Source organism: Homo sapiens, chromosome 1 (genome assembly GCF_000001405.40).
Source record: "Homo sapiens chromosome 1, GRCh38.p14 Primary Assembly".
Taxonomy (NCBI): domain Eukaryota; kingdom Metazoa; phylum Chordata; class Mammalia; order Primates; family Hominidae; genus Homo; species Homo sapiens.
In genome coordinates, this window is record NC_000001.11 from 197,273,014 (window position 1) to 197,294,948 (window position 21,935).

The 21,935-nt window shown below is 34.9% G+C and overlaps 1 protein-coding gene and 1 long non-coding RNA gene across 12 annotated transcripts in view; one reads left to right on the forward strand and one right to left on the reverse strand.

Moving 5' to 3' along the window:
- Positions 1-21,935, forward strand: part of CRB1 (crumbs cell polarity complex component 1) — a 276,952-nt gene that overhangs the window by 71,510 nt on the left and 183,507 nt on the right. The gene's annotated exons all lie outside the window — the stretch shown is intronic.
- LOC124904477 (uncharacterized) lies at positions 42-14,820 on the reverse strand. Its single transcript, XR_007066780.1, has 3 exons — positions 14,782-14,820; positions 374-508; positions 42-256 (listed from the first exon to the last, which is right to left on the reverse strand). It is a non-coding gene; the product is annotated as an uncharacterized LOC124904477 (long non-coding RNA).

Below are 21,935 nucleotides of genomic sequence, written 5' to 3' on the forward strand. Positions count from 1 at the left end.
TGTTCACCTAAGTAGTTTATGTACATTTCCTTAGATATTACCTGACATGCTTTCCCTGTTCTAGTATCCCATCCAAGATATCACAGTACATTTTGCTGTCTTGTATTTTGAGGTTCCTCTTGGCTGTGACAGTTCCTCAGGCTTTCCTTGTTTTTGATGACCTTGAAGGTTTTGAGTTCTGGCCAGGTATTTTATAGATTCTCCCAATATTGGAGTTAGTTTTGTGTTTTCCTCATGGTGAAACTGGAGTTATGGGCTATTGGAATGAAGACCACAAAGGCAAAGGGTTATCCTCATTACATCATATCTATAATATTATCAATGATTTATACAATCAACATGATATGTGACTGCTGATATTGACCTTACTCACCTGGGAGGTGGTGTTATCAGGTTTCCCTGATAACTATAAAGTTATGTCTTTTATTCTTCTCCATACTGTACTCTTAGAAAAGGAAGTCACTGTGTGTAACCCACACTTAAGAAGTTTGGAGTTATGATCTCTCTCCTGGAGGGAAAAATTTACATAAATTATTCGAAATTCTTCTGCATAGGAGATCTGGCTCTTCTCTTTCATTTATTTATTTATTCAATTGTTTATTCATATCAGTATGAATCTATTGACATTTATTTTATACTCTGGGTTATAAGTCAATACTATTTTATTTTGTTACTCAAATTATTCCATCTTTGGCCTGTGGGAGTTCTTTTCAGTTGGCTCCTATTTTCTTTTCACGTACTCCCCATCAATGTGGGGTGCTTTTTAAAAAAGGATTTTCTTCCTTTATGGCTCTACAATCCCTTTCAGACTGATCTTGTGTATTTCCTGACCCAATCCTAGCATAAATCACCATTTCTCCAAGGAGCTCTGTTTCCTTTTATTAGAGAATGGTAACCAAAACCAAGATCTGGATGTGAGGTGTGCTTGTTGCTGCTGGGGTGTCAGGTCTTTTAGGCAATCTCAGCTGAAAGAGCACAGAAATATGTCTGTGTACTAGTCCGTGTATATACATGTTTCTATAGATATCTCTATATGTAAATCTGTGTCTGTCTGTATTAAGCTAAATATGAGTTCATATTGATGCCTCTAACTCCATTTCCACATGGATCATTCTAGCTGTCTCCCCTTGCTTATCTGTAAATTTCAACAGTGAGAAACCTGATTTCCACTATCTGCCATTTATTCACTTGTTTAAATTCAGTATACATATATAGCGGTATTGGACTGTTAACCCATACTCCTATGGGAAACAACTTTAACTGTTTAGGTACAGTACTTATAGCTGTTTCATTTTGTTTTTAGTTTTTCAGAATCCACTTGTTTCCAAAACTACTTAGGTGAACAGTTCTCCCCCAACCCCTTCTGTGAGATTATTTCATACATTTGTAATGCAGTTAGATTGTTGTGTCAAAGTCTGAATTACTTCATGGGATTTCTTTGATGTCCTAAATGATTTTATAAATTTGCATGCAATTGGATTGACTCTTTGTACTGTAAAATTCTGTACATTTTGACAAATGCACCATTAAAGTATTATGCAGAATAATTACTATTCTAAAAGTCCCCTGTGCCTCTTCTCTACACCCTTGATTCTCTGGAAGCCACTGATCATTCTATGTCTCTATAGTTTTGTCTTTTATAGGATGCTATAAAATTGGAATCATACAATATGTAGCCTTTCTGGACGAGCTTCTTTCACACAGCAATATTTATTTAAGCTTCCTCCATGTGCTTTTGTGACTTGATAGTTCATTTCTTTTTATTACTGAAAAATATTCCATTATATAGATGTAGCACGGTTTGCTTAAACACTCACCTACTGAAGGACAACTTTGTTACTTTCAGTTTGGGGCTATTAGTTCCTAGGGCTACTGTAACAAAGTACTACAAACTGGGTGGCTTAAAGCAACATAAATGTATTCTCTCATAGCTCTGGAGGCTAGAAGTCTGAAATCAAAGGTAAGAAGCCCCTTGCTTCCACTGAGACTCCACTTGGAATCCTTACCTGCCTTTTCCTGGCTTCTAGTGGTGTCATTCAGTCCCGGGTGTTTCTTAGCTTGCAACTGCATCACTCCAGTCTCTGCTACTATCACATGATATTCTCACTTTATCTGTCTACCTCTCTTCTATTCTTCTTATAAGGACGTCAGTCATATTGGAGTAGATTCACCCTAATGACCCCATGTTAACTTGATTACATCTGCAAAAACCCTATTTACAAATAAGGGCACATTCACAGGTACTGAGGGTTAGGACTCTGACATACCTTGGGGACACAATTCAACCTATAACATCTACTATGAATAAAACTCTGATATATGATTTAAAAAACACTTGGTTAATACCACTTTTATTGGGTAAAATTGGTTTACAATTGATTTTTTAAACATAGTAAGTGCTTGGTAAATATTTGTGGAGTAAATAGTTGTTATGTTTCAAGAGACATTATATCGATATCCTTGTATTAACATGTGGTAGAAGAAAGATTATGCTAAACAATGTGCCCATATTGTTCTCTTATTTTCCCCCTCTTTACACTGTCCCTACCTTTTACATATTCAGCCTTTCACTTTGAATTAAGTGTTCAGAAATTTCCTCCTATGTAAATTTGCCCTATGAAATTAACTTAGAGTCTGATCAATATGTAAAATAGCACTAGAATTAGGTGTAAACATGCCTCCATATTTCCTCGGGACAAATAGTTTAGCTGTCTTCCATATGTGAATGTTCAATTTTTTAACCTACTTTTTTTCACAAACTGCATTCATTACTTGGGGCACCAAAAGATTACTTTCCTTTATTATTGATTCAAAACAGTGATTGCAAGTTATTTTACTGTGCATGTGTTATTTGTTGTGCTTATTAATAAAATGTCATCTTTTATTTTATGTACATATTTTTGACTTAACAATAAACAGTAAAATTTCTGAAAGGAAGAAGGTACTCAGTCATCTAGTATTAGATCCTATTGGTTGCTATGGTTAGCACCCTTTATCAGTCATCTAGTGTCCTTCCTAGTTTAATAAAAAGTAGTGATTCCTTCAAAGTTTCGTTGCAACATGCTAAGTAGATTGTCCTATATTTCCTAGTTTTTATCTTCAGAAAAGTTTTATTAAAAGCAAAACCAAAGGCAGTGTACTTTTAATAATAACACTATGGGATTCAGTCATGCTGTATCCCATACTGCTGTATCCCATACTGCTGTATCCCGTACATGTAGGAATTAGCATGACTATTTGGAGTTGAATGGTTTGACGGGACCAAAAATTTTACTGGTTTTAGAGGCAACCAATGTAAAGTTAGTTGTCCCTAGCCTTAAGATAGGATAATTAATAAATATTAAAATTTACTATTTATTCCATAATTTTTTTATTTACTTATTTATCCAATAAGTATTTATTGAGGGCCGTAAATCTATATATCTGACACTGTTCTAGGCTCCAAGGGTACAGTAGTGAATAGAAGAGACCACAATCCTTGATATTGTGAAATTTACACTTTAGTGGGGTAAGAGAGACAAAAACCAAATAAATAAGTAAATTATGTAATTGTGAGCTGGCAAAAAGTGCTATAGAAGAAAGCAAAAGATGAGTAACAGAGAGCAGCTGGACCATGAGGATATCACAGTGAATAATATTTTGATAAAGAAAATAGCAAGTGCAAAGACCCTGAAGCAGGAGCGTGCCTATAGTGTTTGAGATACTGTAAGTTGTCCAACATAACTGAAGTGGATTGAGTAAAACAGGGCAAATTAGGAAAGGTGTCAGGGGTTTTACAATAAGTATCTCTCATTCTTGCAATCATACTACATAGTAGCTATTAAGACCATTAGGACACCTTAAGCAAATGACAGCCTAGGGTACATACTAAAAACACAGCTACAAGGGGATACAACTGAGATTTAAAACAAGTTTGTCAGATTCTAAACCTCCCACAAGCTCACACCAGCTTATTTATTCCAAAAGATAAACATTGAGGAATTTAAAAGGCCAGTTATTAAAGCGTTGGTGGCTTAAAATCAGCCACGGTGGAAGTAATTTCATCACAGAATTTGGCAAACACTACAAATCAGTGTTTGGGAAGATTTATTTTTTTAAAAAAAGTTAGTCCTAAATAATAAAAGTTTTCATTCTACCTTTAAAATTTTTTCAGGGTAAAATGTTTATAGTTTCAACCACTATCCCATTCTTGTGACTAAAATCTGCCAAAGCAGGAATGGCTGATATGTAACCTAGATTAACCGCATTGTGTAGTCTTTTTGGTTCTCCACGTAATTGTCCTGATAATTCCCAGATGGATGACTCTTTTCTCTACATTCAGAATTCTTGGAACCTTTAAATACTTATTTTACTTTCTGCAAATTAGTGAGAGCAGAGTGCTAATGAGGCTGAGTTTACGGTTCAATCTCAACACAATTCAGTTTGCTTTGCACAGAGACCAGCTCTGTACAACAAGCAATTATGTCTAGTCAGATGGTCTCAAATTTGTAGTTTTTAATACAAGGAGAGAAAATGAAATTAACTCAACAAATTAAGCAACACCATTGAAATAATCAGTTGCGGGTTTGCAGCAATAACTTTTTCACATAGGTGATGCATTATTATTATTGTGTTTCTGTCTATAATTTTCATTATCTATTCTTTTAATATAGCTGAAGAATAAATATTTATATTCAGCATTAATTTTTATATGAGTTGTGTCAGTAAATACAGATTCTGGCTCTGGCCCACAATTAGTTGTGTATCTATAAATGCATCATTTAAACTTTCTAGGTCTCCAATTTCTCACTTGTAAAATGAGGGGGTTATATTATCTAATTACCACGTTTTTTCAAGGCCTACATTTTATGATTTCATGATTATTCTAGGTAATCGAATCATAGACATTGATGAGCAGAGTGTTTTTAGTGACCAGTCACTCTACATGATCCAGCTTCCACTAGGTTATATTGCAACAAAAAACAAACCCAACATCTTAGTGTTAAAACAACAAGGTGTATATCTTGTTCCCACCACGTACTGTGTGCAAGTTGGCTGCAGCTCTGCCTCGTTTGTATTCTTCATTGCTATAGTGAATGTTTGTCCCCTCTCCCCAAATGAACATATGTATATTGAAGCCCTAATCTCCAAAGTGGCGGTTTTAGGGGGTGGGGCCTTTGGTAGGGGATTAGGTCACTAGGGTGGAGGCCTCACACATGGGATTAGTGCCCTTGTAAAAGAGACCTCCAAGAAATTCCTTACTCCTTCCACCATGTGAGGACATATGGAGAAGATGGCCCTCTACCTATGAACCAGAAGTTGGCCCTGGACAGACCCCATATCTACTGGTGCTTTGACCTAGGACTTTCCAGTCTCCAAAACAAGAACAACAACAAAAATTCTCTTGTTTATAAAGCCACTTAGTCTATGATAGTTTGTTTTGGCAGCCTAAACAGATTAAGACATTCATTTTAGGACACAATCTGCAGGGGCATTCCCTTTTAGAGAACACTGTTTTAATGGCAGAGGGAAAAAGGTAATGGAGGAAGCATACAATAGCTCTTAAAAGCTTCAGCTCAGCTTTGACATACCTCGGTTTGGCTCACATTTCATTAACAAAAGCAGGTCATGTGGCTAAGCTTGACATCAATGGACTAAAGTCCATATTCAGGCATAAAATATTTGGAACAAATAATGTTTTCTACTCCATCTTTTTTCCTCTTTCCAACTTCCAGGGATCAATTTATAAACAAATTTCTTTAAATAACCATTAAAATAAATATTAGAAATTTAAAAGACTTGACAAAACTATTATTTCAGCAACTATATATTAAGCAGTTAAAATGAGCAAGGTCCACTGTTCTCCAGGCACGTACACTGTAGTGGGGTGGGCATATGTGTAAAGGCTGTCCAGACATTTTTGCCTAAGAAAATCATCACACTTTTTAAAATAATGTCAGAAGTCTGTGCATGGATCTGGCTACTATTTTCACATGTAGATAGAGGTAGAAATTTTATTCCGAAAAATAAAACTAGTCTTGTGTATGAAGAAATGTTTTCTGAAAGAAAATATAATCAAGCTTGCTTCGAAATTATTAGCCCTAATGAAAGTAGTTATATTTTGAGGTTACGGTCAACTCAGATTTGGCAAACAGCATATACAGTTTGTAGATTAGGAATTCCTATTTCTCTTTAACCTCATTTCACTTATCATTAGCACCTATACCAGAGGTTGGGTAAGGAAAGAGAGGAAAAATGAAATGTAAAATTTTACATTTTATATATCAATGCCTGAAAATTACATCAAACACAATATTGCAAGGAGCTACTTAATACTTTCACAGACTAGGAGCCTTAAAAGAAGCCTTTACAGCCTACTCATTATAGTATTGACTGTATTTCTACAATTTCTCCTAAAGTAATCTTAAAATAATTAAAGCATTACTTTCTGTAATTATAAACTCAAATAATTATAGATGTAAATATAAATTGCTTTCTCTTCACTAACCTCATTATATCAAATTTTTTTTTGTTTGTTTTCTGGCTTTTTTTTTTTTTTTAACAACCCCTCTATGGAGCAACTGAAATCAGGAAATGTATGTGTTGTTTAACTCTTTCTACTCAGCTGCTTCAGTTAGCAGGCTAGCTATATGAACTACTTGAAGTTCAGAATAGCCATAGAACTAAGGCAAAGTTTGCATAAACGTAGTTTTTTCTGTAGGCTGGTAAATAGCAATTGTGTCCATGTAGAGGGACTCAATGTCAATAGTGAAAGCAGCCCACTACCCCCTACCCTTTTATTCTCATATTCCTTGTTTTTGGAGATAATACATCTCTAAAGCCTTTTTTTTTTTTTAAATTAGAGGAGTCTATGATTCATGTTTTCCTTGCCTACCAGATACAACCAACCTCTGTTACCCAATTTCTCTATGTCAGACATTAGGCTGAATGTTTTTACATAGTTTATCTCATTTAATTGAAACCTTGTGATGAAGATTTTATTATTCCCATTTTGCAGAGATATCTAAGGCTTGGAGTGCACAAGTAAAGCCACTAAATTGTTGATTTAGATACTTAAATTATTTTTTAATATGAGTAGTTTTCACACAACCATATCACACGGTCAGAATTTGGAAATACCAGCGTCACCATTCATAAGACCATGGACAATTTAAAACTTTTGGTCCTTCTGAATTAAACAGTCTTCTATAGATACAGCATGGAAACTCTGCAAACAGACTTTTGGCTTTATGAAGGGAAGCATTAATGTAAATATAATTGTTAATCGTAAATCAGAAAAACATAAGGGAGAGAGATGCAGTGAAAAGATCGTCAATCAAGCTTGTAAGTAGGTTCCACCTGTGAATAATAATCTATTGCTCAAACCATAAGAAATACAGGTATTAAAGATAATTTATCATGTATTCATCACCAGCTACATGTGCTACAAGTATAATTTTAAATATCAACATACTGTATGCCCTCAAAGGGAATTTGTTGTGTGACTGATGATAGAATTTCAGAGAGCCAAGAGCTTTGGGAATAAACTGGTTTTAAAAAATCCAGATATCATACCAAACATGTATTCTATCAAGTACATTTCTTTAAGGTATTTTTTAAAACTCTAATAGGCAGTAATGCGTACTGGAATTGCCTAGGTTACAGATTGTCACAAAAATATGTTTTATTAATTCTTAGGGTCAGTTGTAGTCCTTGCCATCAATATAACTATTTTTTAAAAGAAGGATAGTTTTTATTATGTCCTTTTTCTAGTAGATATTTCACTGTTAATTGTTCATGGCTGGTAAACTCATATTTATGAAGACTCAAACATTTATTTAACTCAATATGCTTTTGTTTCTTCCTGACATGTATGTAATCATATTTTATAAAGTACATTGGTCAGTGAGATTGTATGTATGACATCGGATTAAAAAATTTAATATGTAAAATAAACACATCGGGGGCGGTCATTAAATGATGGGTTTCTGTGCTACAACTCCTGATGCTATGATTTCACTGTTCCTGTGTAGGACCAAAAAATCAATTTAAAAAATAAGTCTTAGTAATTGTGATGCATGTCATTTACAGACTAGGTTTTAAGAGACACTAATCCATAAGTTAACAAAGTGAAAGTTGGTCGATTATTGATTCTTAAAGTGTGGCAAAGACTGATGTGAGGGAACAGGCAAGAAACAACCAAGGGCACAGTGCATTTGGGACTTAATAGAAAAATGAAGCAGTGGGGAGCGATGTGAGATGAGGGTGTAGGGGCAGTGTCTGCATAATTAAAGGCTTTAAATGCTATAATGAATTATCTTATACTAGAGTTTTCTTGTAGTCAGAGGTTCCCAAATGTTTTCACACTGTGGCCTGTAGAGAGAGGATAATATCTGTGCACCATACTTGCTCATGTAGTCAGGACTGTTGACAACCAGAGGTGATCACTTGGTGGCTTTTGCAGCTCTGGCACCCTTTAGCCTACTCTTCACGTGTTGGGAAGTGCCATGAAGGGGGGTTGAAAGCCACTGAAGGACTTTAAATAGGAACCCTGGCATGCTCAGACTTGGCCAGAATGAGAAGGGAATAAAGAAGGGAAAGCAAGGCTGTAGTTAGAGAGACCTAGCATGAAATGATGGAGACCTCAAACAGCGTGGTCCTGGTAAGGAAGAAGCAGAGTGGGCTTAGATACTTCAGGGGAACATTAACTTATTGTTTAATGAGAAATGGGTGAGAGCAAAAGGGAGGATAGCGAAGAATGATTTCCAGGCCCCTAGTTTATGTATCTTAAATAATGGTATGACTTTATCTAAAATAGTAATGCACGGAAAATATAGGATGAATTGTTACAATTTAAATCTCTTTATTTTGAAATATTGGAGGGACTTTCAGGTGAAAATATCCAGCAGGCAGTTGGATATATCCCTCCAAAGTTCAAAGGGGAGACCCAGTTAGAAGATAAAGAGTATAATAAAAAAAATTATAGACTATATAAAACTTGCGATATAAAATATTAACTTGCTGCTTGGGTTAATTACATTTTTATAAATAAAATATAAGCTATTCATAAAAATGAAAAAAAAAAGAAAATCAAGTCTCTGAAATTTCTACTGAGGTAAGAAATCATAATCATTCCTTTTAAAAATAATTTATTCCTTTAAAAAATAACTATGTCACATAATTGAATTTAAAATGTATTTGTTAGTTGTTTTTTAAATAAAATTTCAGAATAATAATAAAAAAAGAAGATAAAGAGTTGGGTCCTTACTTACAAATTCAGTAACTATCATCAAGTCCATCCTCTGGACTACTTATTAGAATAAGAAGAGAGAACACAAAAAATCTAGAGCGAAGTTCTATAAAATAATTTTACACTATGGATTCAAGGCTTAAATATGAGTGTTCCTACTCATTGGTCCAGTAACTCTTCTAGGAGAAATAGTTGAAAATGAGAGCAAAAAATAGCATGTGAAGGAAGCCGTATGTTATGTATAATAGTGAAAAATTAGAAATAACCTTAATGTTATTAACCAAATTTGCACGTTTATACTAATAAAATGTTTGAAACATAAATTGTGTTGCTTTGGGATCAAAGAAATAAACACAGTCCAGTAATCAAAAGTAAATTAAAGCAATTTAAATATTTCCTGCAGTCTCTTAAGAAACGCACACATATACACACATATACAATTAGAATATAAGGCACAGAGAAATATTATTTCTCCATTTTATGTTCTCAATGTCTTGTAAAACTATTATTTCTCAATTGTTATGTTCTCAATGTCTCTCACTACTTCCTAAGGTCTAACCTCTGAAAAAGGTTGGACCTTTCTCTTGAAATTCTCATAGGTTCTTTTCTTCTCTCAGAAATAAATCTCTACTCTTTCTTATATAAGTCCCCTCTCCTGGGTTCCCAAATTTTGTTTATTTCTTTCTGGTTGTCTTGATTCTGCATCACAAAAGCCCAGGAATAAAGCTAGTGAAGGTACATTTTTTAATATAGGTGTATGGAAGATGAGCAATCAGAGCCAAAGGTACACCAGTGGGCAAGGAAGGGGGAAAGAATCTCAACACTTAGTCAAAAGGTCATTTTTGTTTTCCAAAAAGGTTAAGCAAAAATAAAAAAAATAAAAATAAACACATCAGGATGTCAAATCTTATGTAATCTACAATATGCAATTTGTGGTGTAAAAAATATGCTTGGAAAAAACAAAGAAAAATTCTGGAGGGAAACATTTTAGAATTTTTTTTTCTTTTTTTTTCCTATGTTTTTTGGGGGGAACAGATGGTATTTGGTTACATGAGTAAGTTCTTTAGTGGTGATTGTGAGATTTTGGTGCACCCATCACCTCAGCAGTATACACTGAACCCAATGTGTAGTCTGTTATCCCGCATCCCCCTCCCGCCCTTTCCTGCCGAGTCCCCAAAGTCCGTTGTATCATTCTTATGCCTTTGCGTCCTCATAGCTTAGCTCCCACTTATGAGTGAGAACATATGATGTTTGGTTTTCCATTCCTGAGTTACTTCACTTAGAATAATGTTCTCTAATTCCACCCAAGTTGCTGCAAATGCCATTAATTCATTCCTTTTTATGGCTGAGTAGTATTCCATCATGTATCTATCTATCTAGATGGATAGATATATATCGATATACCACAGTTTCTTTATACCACAGTTTCTAGAAATTTAATAGCAATTATCACTGGACATTGAAATTACAAGGGATTGCAATATTTTTCTTTAATTTTGTTATAGGTTCTACATTTTCTGTAAGTAGGCCAAAAATCTTCAATAAACATAAAACAGATTATTATTTATATTAAAATAAATTTTATTTTAAAAATAATTTAGTTATTCAAACAATAAATTTTAAGTCACAGAGCTACTAACAGAAGTAGCTATATATAGACAGAAGTATTAAGTAAATATTTGCTATTTTTAAATACTGAAAAGTTATATTAGAAAAATACCAGTTTCAAAAATATTCAAGAAACGAAAGATAGTTTATTTCAATTATAAGCTATGTGGGTTTGAATCATTTTACTTAAATTCTATGTTTTCTCATCTGCCTAATGGGAATAATTATTTTAAACTGCATAGGAGTGTTGTGAGGATTAAATGAAAAATGAATGTGTGACACTCTATGACGTCTTAACTTGATTTGATTTATAGTCAGACTTGAGATTCACAATAGACTTCATCAAGCACCAATTTTACTTGTCTTGAAGAAAATGCACAGGACCAGTGTCATAGCATGCACAATGACAACACAGCAGAGGTCTCCTGATTCTCAGACACAGCTTTGGATGTCCCAGTCATTCTGCACCCTGGGTGTGTGTGGCCACAAGGAATAAAGCTGATTGAATACAACTTCAGCTCGGGAAAATCATCAGCTCTGAGATCCTCCCTTCAGTTTTTATATCAAGCCATGTGTTTGTGACTGAGTAGTCACATCTAATCAGGTTTATGTGATTAGCCCTATTTCTTCAGGGCAGCTCCATTTCATTAGTTCCCAATTACTCGTTAAACAACCTTGACAATGAGTTACACATGCTTAGTCATTTCCATGGAACTCTCATTTATCTTGCATCAATATAGGTAAATATCTAACTATTCCTCAGTTGCTGCTGCAAATCAGAGGTCTAGTCTTCAGCCATTTCCAGAGAGGAGGCCAAAGAAACAGCTGTTAGTCCTTTTTCGGTATATAAAATGCTCAGGATAGTGCCTGACACGTAGTAAGCAAACAAAAACTTCACAGAATCATTGAATTTGTTTTTTCAAAATTGACAAATAAAGTGCATATTCTGATATTGTAATTTAAAAAAATAATAGAACAAAGGAATCCACTGCTTGGTTGTAATATCTTTTCTTCATTGATAATTTTCAAAATGATTGTTGCTAAAATCATATGCCTCTGTCAAATTCCTTTCACGTCAAATAAAATTAAATCCTATGATGTCCTTGAAATCATGTTGTGTTACAGGTCAGTGGTTATCATAGATGACTTTAAATATTCATTACAGGAATATTGAGGGATGATGGCAAGTCATGGTCTTGAGAGTCGTTGCTGAAATAGGCTATTGGAGTGTGAGTTGGTCATTAAACTGTGAAGGATCATTCATGTCAACATGAAAGTCCCCTTGATTAGGAAGTTACCTAGTTGGTAACTGGGAATATTGGTTGAAGGAAGTGAAAGTGTAGTGAAAAGAGAAGTTTGTCCAAGAGCACGGCTTATAAGAGGGTTATGCAAGAAGATGGTAGCTAAACTATTTTTTATAATAAATAACCATGAATTTGGGGGTCAGAGAGTGAAAATAGAGAGATGATGGGGACAGAAATAAGGGATAAGAGAATAGATGAGGCAACTTGTTAGAAGGCCTTGCCCTTTAGAGAAAAATAGCCAGTAAAATACTCCTCTCAGTGGGATGTACAACAGACTAGTTAGAAGAATGTCAAATTCTCATTTTTAACACATCAGTGTTACTACTTATAAAGCCTCTCTGCCTTGCCAGATCTTCAGTTCGATTTTATTACTTTTATAGCTTAGGGAGTAGAATGGTAGCAAATATTACAACTGGGCTATGAACAGATATAACATGTCCCACATTGGCCTCTCTGTTGAAGCCAATGTGATAGAAACAACTCTTCTTGAGGCATCGCAGTCCAGACGTTTGATGTGGTGACTGACAGCAAAGTGAGGCTTAACCTGTGGTGTGGTGAAGCATTCTGTGCAGCAGTGGAGCACAGGTGGATGACTCAGGAGACTAAGCTCCTTCTCCCATATTTACCAAGGAAGGCCATGCCAGGGGAAACACACATGCTGAGTAAATAATGAAAGAGAATCAACTGGATAGAGTTGAAACATTCTCAATAAATATTAATTTTTAACAATTACTAGTTAATTTATTTAGTTATTCTTTGAATTTGAGCAGAATCTCTTTCTCTCCTTTTTTTAATTCCTTGGGCTTGTGTGTGCTCTCAAGACTTAGAATGTGAGGTCACAACGTTTCCTGTGATACAGACTTGAAAGAGTATAGGCCTTTCTCTGTACTCATTGTAGCTCAGTACTATTCCTAGCTTCTTAGCCCCTTCATGGCTTTTTAAAGGAAGGAAAAGCTAATTATTGGTGCTCCAGGACTGGGCAAAGCCGAGAAAAAAGAGATTTTTCTTTTCCTTCATGTGGCATCAGTTTGATTGCTTGTTTTCTAGAAAATAGAGAGAAGGTTACCTATCAAAGGGCACAGTCTTTTCCCAATAGCAATCGTAACAACCTCATTTATTGAGAACCGAATACTTAGAATTGTATACAAACTCTGAATCGTATAAAACTCCTGCAATGTACCTGTTATCTATACTTTAAAATAGCGCACAATTATTCTCATGGAAGTTAAGTGATTTGACAAGTTGGCAAAGTAAGTGACAGAGCTAGAACAGAATTAAAACTTCTTGTTATTCCCACTAAACCACCTATAGGTCTTGATAACCATAGACCTTAGAAAACTAAACATTTACTAATTGTTTATTTGTAATTTATCTTCCCAATACTAATGTAACAGATTTCAACTTTCTGTCCAAATTACCCTAATTACTAAAAGGCCTATACACCTGTAATGAAACATGAATTTTGAAATACATTTGCACAGAATATAATAAAGTTTTCTTAGAGTTAAACTTCAGTACTATTGTAGGCGCTTAGTGTCTGAAGACCACTGGCTGCCTTGGATGACCTCTAAATGCACCCTCCAGCTCTGTGATTTAATGAAGAAATCACTGACATAGTTCCCATGTTTTGCATTATAATTTCATAAAATTTTTGTTTATATCTGTAATTTAATGCAAAGCCATATGGTTATCAGAAATAATGGATATTTAATTTGATTATTTAAGCATTTGACTTATTTTGTTTCATTCAAGGGAAAAAGAAAAACTATTTTGAATTCTATTAATTTTCTGCTTCATAGAGAATTAGACATTTATGAAAAAAGTTCATAACAGAAGTTCTCAAAGTAAAGTTAGGTTGATAGATTCATTTAATGCACAATTCTTATACACTTATAAAATTTCAAAAATTCATATTTGTATCATATATTCATAGGTCACAGGAGAGGTAAAATGAGTACGTGGAATATGGCCTGAATATATAGGAGCTAATTAGAAAATAAAGTAATATGCTATATTTTAGAAATGAGAAAAGCAGAACTTGGTAATAAAGGGCTTAGTTTGATAAACCATGAGTTGAGAACCAAAAGTGGTTCTGGCCCTTGGAACTGCAAAATAGTTTCACCTACTGTAACCAGGCTAATATATTGCTCCTGGTAGCCTGCTGCCACTCCAAAATTTTCTCCTCAGAGTTTGTCATTTTTGTGAATTCAAGCTCTTCAGAATGTTTCAATTACAAAAGGACAATTTTACATTAACCCATCAACATAGACTTACTTTCAGTTTCCTAACTTAAAGTAGGGACTTGAAAGAAAAAGATCTAAAATAGGTCAACGGTAGAGAGTTTGTGGGGGATTGTAAGCATGTGAAATTGATGATGGTGGTCTCTGTAACGGGATCCCTGATGGATCCCACAGCAGCATGGAGGCTCTGACTTCTTGCAAGGGAGAGAGGCGCTAGGGAAAGAAGATGTTAGAGACAGTAACAAAGCAAAATTTCCTCATGTGCAGTTTATCCAAGGATGGCTCACAAATAGAATTATTCTACTCATGAAGGAAAAAGAAATACAACTAGCCAAATGATCCACCTGGAATTATTTCCTCCTTAGCTACACAAACAGGTAAAAACAAATCCATACATTACATTTTACAATTATATTCTGAAGAGGTGTCCACTTCTGAGCAAGATGGAGTAGGTGGGACTGGATTCACCCTCCAGCCTGAAGCAATAAAAAAAGCAACCTGGCAACACATATGAAACAATGGTTTCCGAGACATCAGCTATCAGAGAATGAAGAGTAGTCATCCCTAAGAAATGGAAAACAAACAAGGTGAGCCCTATTGCTTGAACTTACTACCATGAGAGAGTTTCCGGGCAACAGCACAGGGAGAGGGATTCATAGAGAGCCGAGTGTTTGAGGAGACCCAGACAGATGAAATTCATGAGACGGAGTACCTGAGGGGAGAGCTGCACAGAGACAGACCAGAGATCTGCAGAAGCTCCTTTTAGTATTCAGCTGAGTTTATATCAGCACATGCATGTAAGGAAAGTTCCCAAGACCTGGGAAAGAATAAAGCTGAAATGATTAGAGATAATAATGCCCAGCACTCACAGAGGGCCAAGAATTGTACCTGTGCCCAGTAGCCAGACTGAATAACTTCATGATTTATGAAACATTTGGTAGGATATTGCTTCGGTAGTTACAAATATTCTCCTCCAGATTCGATACGGTCTTGTGCTGCTTAACAAATCTTAAAAGCAAGACTTAAAAGAACCAAACTGTTTCTAAAAAACTGCATTGCAGAACACAGCTCAAGAAGGCATGCATAGAAACAGGAAAATAAGACCCAAATGAGGAGAAAAATAAATCAATCAAAACAGATCATAAATTGATCCAGATGTTAGAATTACCAGATAAGGGCACCAAAACAGTTATTACAACTGTATTCCAGATGTTCAAAAAGTTAAGTAGAATTATGAGATATGAGAAAGATTCAAATCAAACTTATAGAGAAAGAATCTACAAGGTATAAGACGAAAAGTACGTTGGAAGAGATGAATGACAAATTAGACGTTGAAGGGAAGGTTAGTGATTTGAAGACATAGCAATGGAAATGATCCAAAATTAAACATAAAGAGAAAAAAGGATTAGAAAACAAAACAAAGCAAAGCAAACGAAACACCCACAAAACTGTGACAACTTTACAAAGTCTAAGATATGCAAAATTGGACTCCCTGAAAAAGAGAGTGAGAATAAAAAGTTTTGAAGAAATAATGCCCAAACTTCTCTAAAAAGGATGAAAACTATGAATACATAGGTTAAAAAAAAAAAAAAACTTGAATTTCCAGCCAACAGCATGTGGAGAGTGATCCATGTAGAGCCTAATGTTTGAGGAGACCCGGACAGATGAAATTCTCGGGACAGAGTACCTGAGAGGAGAGCTGCAACGGGACAGACCAGAGACAGACCAAAAAAACAAAAGCAAAACAAAACAAAACAAAAAACAAATCCCAAGTACAAGAAACACACACACAAAACCATACCCATTTTCTTTCTTAATTATATCTCTTACTTTTCTCTCATTCTGTCAATAAGCAGGAAATGTTTTCCTGAAATATAATTATCTTCTCTAATTCTTGAATAATATTTTGTTTTTGAAAATATTTTGTCTGTCTTTTTTCTTCTATGGAAAATTGTGCTCTCATTTCACTCTAATTTTGGTTCCTCTGCAGGTGCTCCCTATTTTCTTTCTGGTTTCTTAATGCATTTTCTTTATCTTCAGTGTATTGTGATGTGCCTTGGTTGGGGATTTATATTTACTGTATCTTTATTTTTTCAAATGTTATTTATGATTCTTAAGACTTTTTGAGCTTCTTGAATGTGAAGTTTCACAAACCTCGTGGGTTTGGGGAAAATTTGAACCATTTATCACTTTGAATATGGTCTCTTCGCCATTCTCTCTGTTCTGTCTCAGTATTCCTATTAGATGAATATCAGAACCTTTTCTTCTATCATTGTTGTCTATTAATCTTACTAACATATTTTCCTTTCATCTATTTCTTTTCAGCTATGTCTAATATGCTCTAATTTGTTGATTTAGTTTTAAATGTCAGTGCCTACATTTTCCTTTTCAACAGATCTGTTTGCCTTTTAAAATGGACCTATTCTTTTTTATATAATGTGCTTTATTTTTCATATTACAATTTAAAATTTTATAAAGATATATATCTTACATAGTTATATATCTTCTCTAAAGTTATATATCTTATGTAGATGATTATATATCTGTAGCTATTTAAGTATATAGTTGTTATATATAGTTATTTTTATCTAGTTATATAAAAGTTATATTTGTCAGTCTATCTTAAGGGTTGGGGATCTAATCTATCTATGGTTTCTGCTAACTTGTTCCTTGTTTGTTTTTCTTATGACTTATAATTTTTTATTTTGAGTCTTTCTTCAAGAGGTTTTTAAAAACATTTGTTGTATTTATCCTATGAGTACCTTTTGGAACTGCATCCTGGTCATATCCCTGTAGAACATTTTTTGCTGTGCTTTTGCAAAGTAGCCAAGGATACCACTGGCTCAAAATCAGTTTTTTATGTTCCCTTTCGTGTGTGTGTGTGTGTGTGTGTGTGTGTGTGTGTGTGTGTTTGAAGAGAAGTGGATCTCAGATCATATGGGTACTGTAAATGGGATAGATGCAGAGTCTCAGGGTTTTGATTTCCTGGAGGTAGGATGTGAAAGGACAGGAAGTCATTAGCTTCATTGTTGCTCACCACATCCCTGACAGTAGGAAGATTATTTTTTAGGCCTTCTTTTTCCCTGAACAGCTCAGTTTCACATCCCCCCAGCTCCTTTCCATGACCATTAAAAACCAAACTCTTGATGCAAGGGATCCGTTTTTTCTTCTTCTCTCCCCTCTATCAGCCAACAGGACAGACACAGTATGAACGTCCATTGAGTGTCATGCTGATTTTCAGCTCTTTCATCCCCTGTGTTACCTGGTGATCTCCCTTTCCTTCACTTACATATTTAAATAATATTTGTTGTATTTGATTCATTATTTCTGATTATTTGTAATGGGAGGATTTTAAGTTTATGTACATTTGCCCTCTCACTAAAAATAGAAGTTAATTATCCATTCACTAAAATAAAGATATCTGTGTTAAAATGACATGCTTTTTGTCCATGCTTTTGCAGGACAATTTCCATGCTTTTGCAGGAAATTGTGTTTCTTGTGCCTGGCTCTCTGGTACTAAATGTATTTTTAATTGTAATGAGCTCTAATCAAGAAAGAATTTTTCTTTAAAATAAATGGCTTTCAAAATGAGAAATGAAACTAAAATATACTGTGGACATTAATCTTCTCGATTTTATACTTATATGACAATCTCACAGACTAGTTCAACGTTTGTAAACTTGCATTTGAATAGGTAATAAGTACTAAAAATAATAACTTCAAGAGCTAGGATGATGACATTTTAAAACTTAATTAGTAATATTTAAATTTCCATGCAAGATAATTCATTTCTTGGACAATATAGTCTTTAAAAACTTCATTTAAATAAAGATGTTAATAATGAAAATACTTAAATATATAAGTGAGTGGACATGTGTCTTTTATCCCATTCTAACGAATTGATTTTTACTTTATTCAACACTGTGGGATAATAAACATACGGCACTTTGCAAGTATTTTATTTTAGCTTTTAATTACATTGGGAAATTTAATATTTCAGTATTTCCTTAATTTTCTAAGATTAGTTGGTTACATGTTTTATCAAATTAATGTTTGTGATTACTGCGAAAATCTTATACTCAAAGTAGCTTCAAATTACTGTTCATGATAAAATTTCATTTGATTGACTTTTATCTCAATTCAATAATCAAAAATTCATGACACTGTTGGATTTTAGTTCATGCTGTTATCTTTCTACAGTAAAAGCAAAATTAGTTAGAGATTTTATATTTATTTCAAGATGTCACATATATTTGTCTTTTCAGTTTCCAGAGTCCTTAGCATGCATAGTGCTTAATAGAGCACATTCCTGGACAGCCTGTTATTATTCATTGAAATTTTAGATTGCATATATAATTATAATGCATTATATGTACATACATGTGTACATACAACATTGCAAGTTTCATTCCATAATGCTCTTTGCTTTCCCATCTATATTCTCCAGGAAGGCTTGCATTTAAGTTAAGATCTAAGTTTACAAAGACACAACTTACCAGAATCTCTGGGACACATTTAAAGCAGTGTGTAGAGGGAAATATATAGCACTAAATGCCCACAAGAGAAAGCAGGAAAGATCTAAAATTGACACCCTAACATCACAATTAAAACAACTAGAGAAGCAAGAGCAAACACATTCAAAAGCTAGCAGAAGGCAAGAAATAACTAAGATCAGAGCAGAACTGAAGGAGATAGTGACACAAAAAACCCTTTAAAAAATCAATGAATCCAGGAGCTGATTTTTTGAAAAGATCAACAAAATTGATAGACCGCTAGCAAGACTAATAAAGAAGAAAAGAGAGAAAAATCAAATGGACGCAATAAAAAATGATAAAGGGGATATCACCACCAATCCCACAGAAGTACAAACTACCGTCAGAGAATACTATAAACACCTCTATGCAAATAAACTAGAAAATCTAGAAGAAATGGATAAATTCCTATACAGCATCCCAAGACTAAGCCAGGAAGTTGAATCCCTGAATAGACCAATAACAGGCTCTGAAATTGAGGCAATAATTAATAGCCTACCACCCAAAATAAGTCCAGGACTAGACAGATTCACAGCCGAATTCTACCAGAGGTACAAGGAGGAGCTGGTACCATTCCTTATGAAGATATTCAAATCAATAGAAAAAGAGGGAATCCTCCCTAACTCATTTTATGAGGCCAGCATCATCCTGATACAAAAGCCTGGCACAGACACAACAAAAAAAAGAGAATTTTAGACCAATATCCCTGATGAACATCGATGAGAAAATCCTCAATAAAATACTGGCAAACCGAATCCAGCAGCACATCAAAAAGCTTATCCACCATGATCAAGTGGGCTTCATCCCTGGGATACAAGGCTGGTTCAGCATACAAATATCAATAAATGTAATCCAGCATATAAACAGAACCAAAGACAAAAACCACTTGATTATCTCAATAGATACAGAAAAGGCCTTTGACAAAATTCAACAGCACTTCATGCTAAAAAAACTCTCAATAAACTAGGTATTGATGGGACATATCTCAAAAAATAAGATCTGTTTATGACAAACCCACAGCCAATATCATACTGAATGGGCAAAAACTGGAAGCATTCCCTTTCAAAACTGACACAAGACAGAGATGCCCTCTCTCACCACTCCTTTTCAATATAGTGTTGGAAGTTCTGGCTAGGGCAATCAGGCAGGAGAAAGAAATAAATGGTATTCGATCAGGAAAAGAGGAAGTCAAATTGTCCCTGTTTGCAGATGATATGATTGTATATTTAGAAAACCCCATCGTCTCAGTGCAAAATCTCCTTAAGCTGATAAGAAACTTCAGCAAATTCTCAGGATGCAAAATCAATGTGCAAAAATCACAAGCATTCTTATACACCAATAACAGACAAACAGAGAGCCAAATCATGAGTGAACTCCCATTCACAATTGCTTCAAAGAGAATAAAATACCCAGGAAACCAACTTACAAAGGACGTGAAGGACCTCTTCAAGGAGAACTACAAACCACTGCTCAACAAAATAAAAGAGGACAAAAACAAATGAAAGAACATTCCATGCTCATGGATAGGAAGAATCAATATCGTGAAAATGGCCATACTGCCTAAGGTAATTTATAGATTCAATGCCATCCCCATCAAGCTACCAATGACTTTCTTCACAGAACTGGAAAAAACTACTTTAAAGTTCATATGGAACCAGAAAAGAGCCCGCGTCGCCAAGTCAATCCTAAGCCAAAAGAACAAAGCTGAAGGCATCATACTACCTGACTTCAGACTATACTACAAGCCTACAGTAACCAAAACAGCATGGTACTGGTTCCAAAACAGAGATATAGACCAATGGAACAGAACAGAGCCCTCAGAAATAATACCACACATCTACAACCATCTGATCTTTGACAAACCTGGCAAAAACAAGCAATGGGGAAAGGATTCCCTATTTCACAAATGGTGCTGGAAAAACTGGCTAGCCATATGTAGAAAGCTGAAACTGGATCCCTTCCTTACACCTTATACAAAAATTAATTCAAGATGGATTAAAGACTTTAATGTTAGACCTAAGACCATAAAAACCCTAGAAGAAAACTTAGGCAATACCATTCAGGACATAGGCATGGGCAAGGACTTGATGTCTAAAACACCAAAAGCAATGGCAACAAAAGCCAAAATTGACAAATGGGATCTAATTCAACTGAAGAGCTTCTGCACAGCAAAAGAAACTACCATCAGGGTGAAAAGGCAACCTAAAGAATGGGAGAAAATTTTTGCAATCTGCACATCTGACAAAGGGCTAATTTCCAGAATCTACAAAGAACTCAAACAAATTTACAAGAAAAAATCAAACAACCCCATCAAAAAGTGGGCAAAGGACATGAACAGACAGTTCTCAAAAGAAGACATTTCTGCAGCCAACAGACACACGAAAAAAAATATTCATCATCACTGGCCATCAGAGAAATGCAAATCAAAACCATAATGAGATACCATCTCACACCAGTTAGAATGGCGATCATCAGGAAATAACAGGTGCTGGAGAGGATGTGGAGAAATAGGAACACTTACACTGTTGGTGGGACTATAAACTAATTCAACCGTTGTGGAAGACAGTGTGGAAATTCCTCAAGGATCTAGAACTAGAAATACCATTTGACCCAGCCATCCCATTACTGAGTATATACCCAATGGATTATAAATCATGCTGCTATAAAGACACATGCACACATACGTTTATTGCGGCACTATTCACAATAGCAAAGACTTGGAACCAACCCAAATGTCCATCAATGATAGACAGGATTAAGAAAATGTGGCACATATACACCATGGAATACTATGCAGCCATAAAAAAGGTTGAATTCATGTCCTTTGTAGGGACATGGATGAAGCTGGAAACTATCATTCTCAGCAAACTGTCGCAAGGACAAAAAACCAAACACCGCATGTTCTCACTCATAGGCGGGAATTGAACAATGAGAACACTTGGACACAGGAAGGGGAACATCACACACCAGAGCCTGTCGTGGGGTAGAGGGAGAGGGGAGGGATAGCATTAGGAGATATACC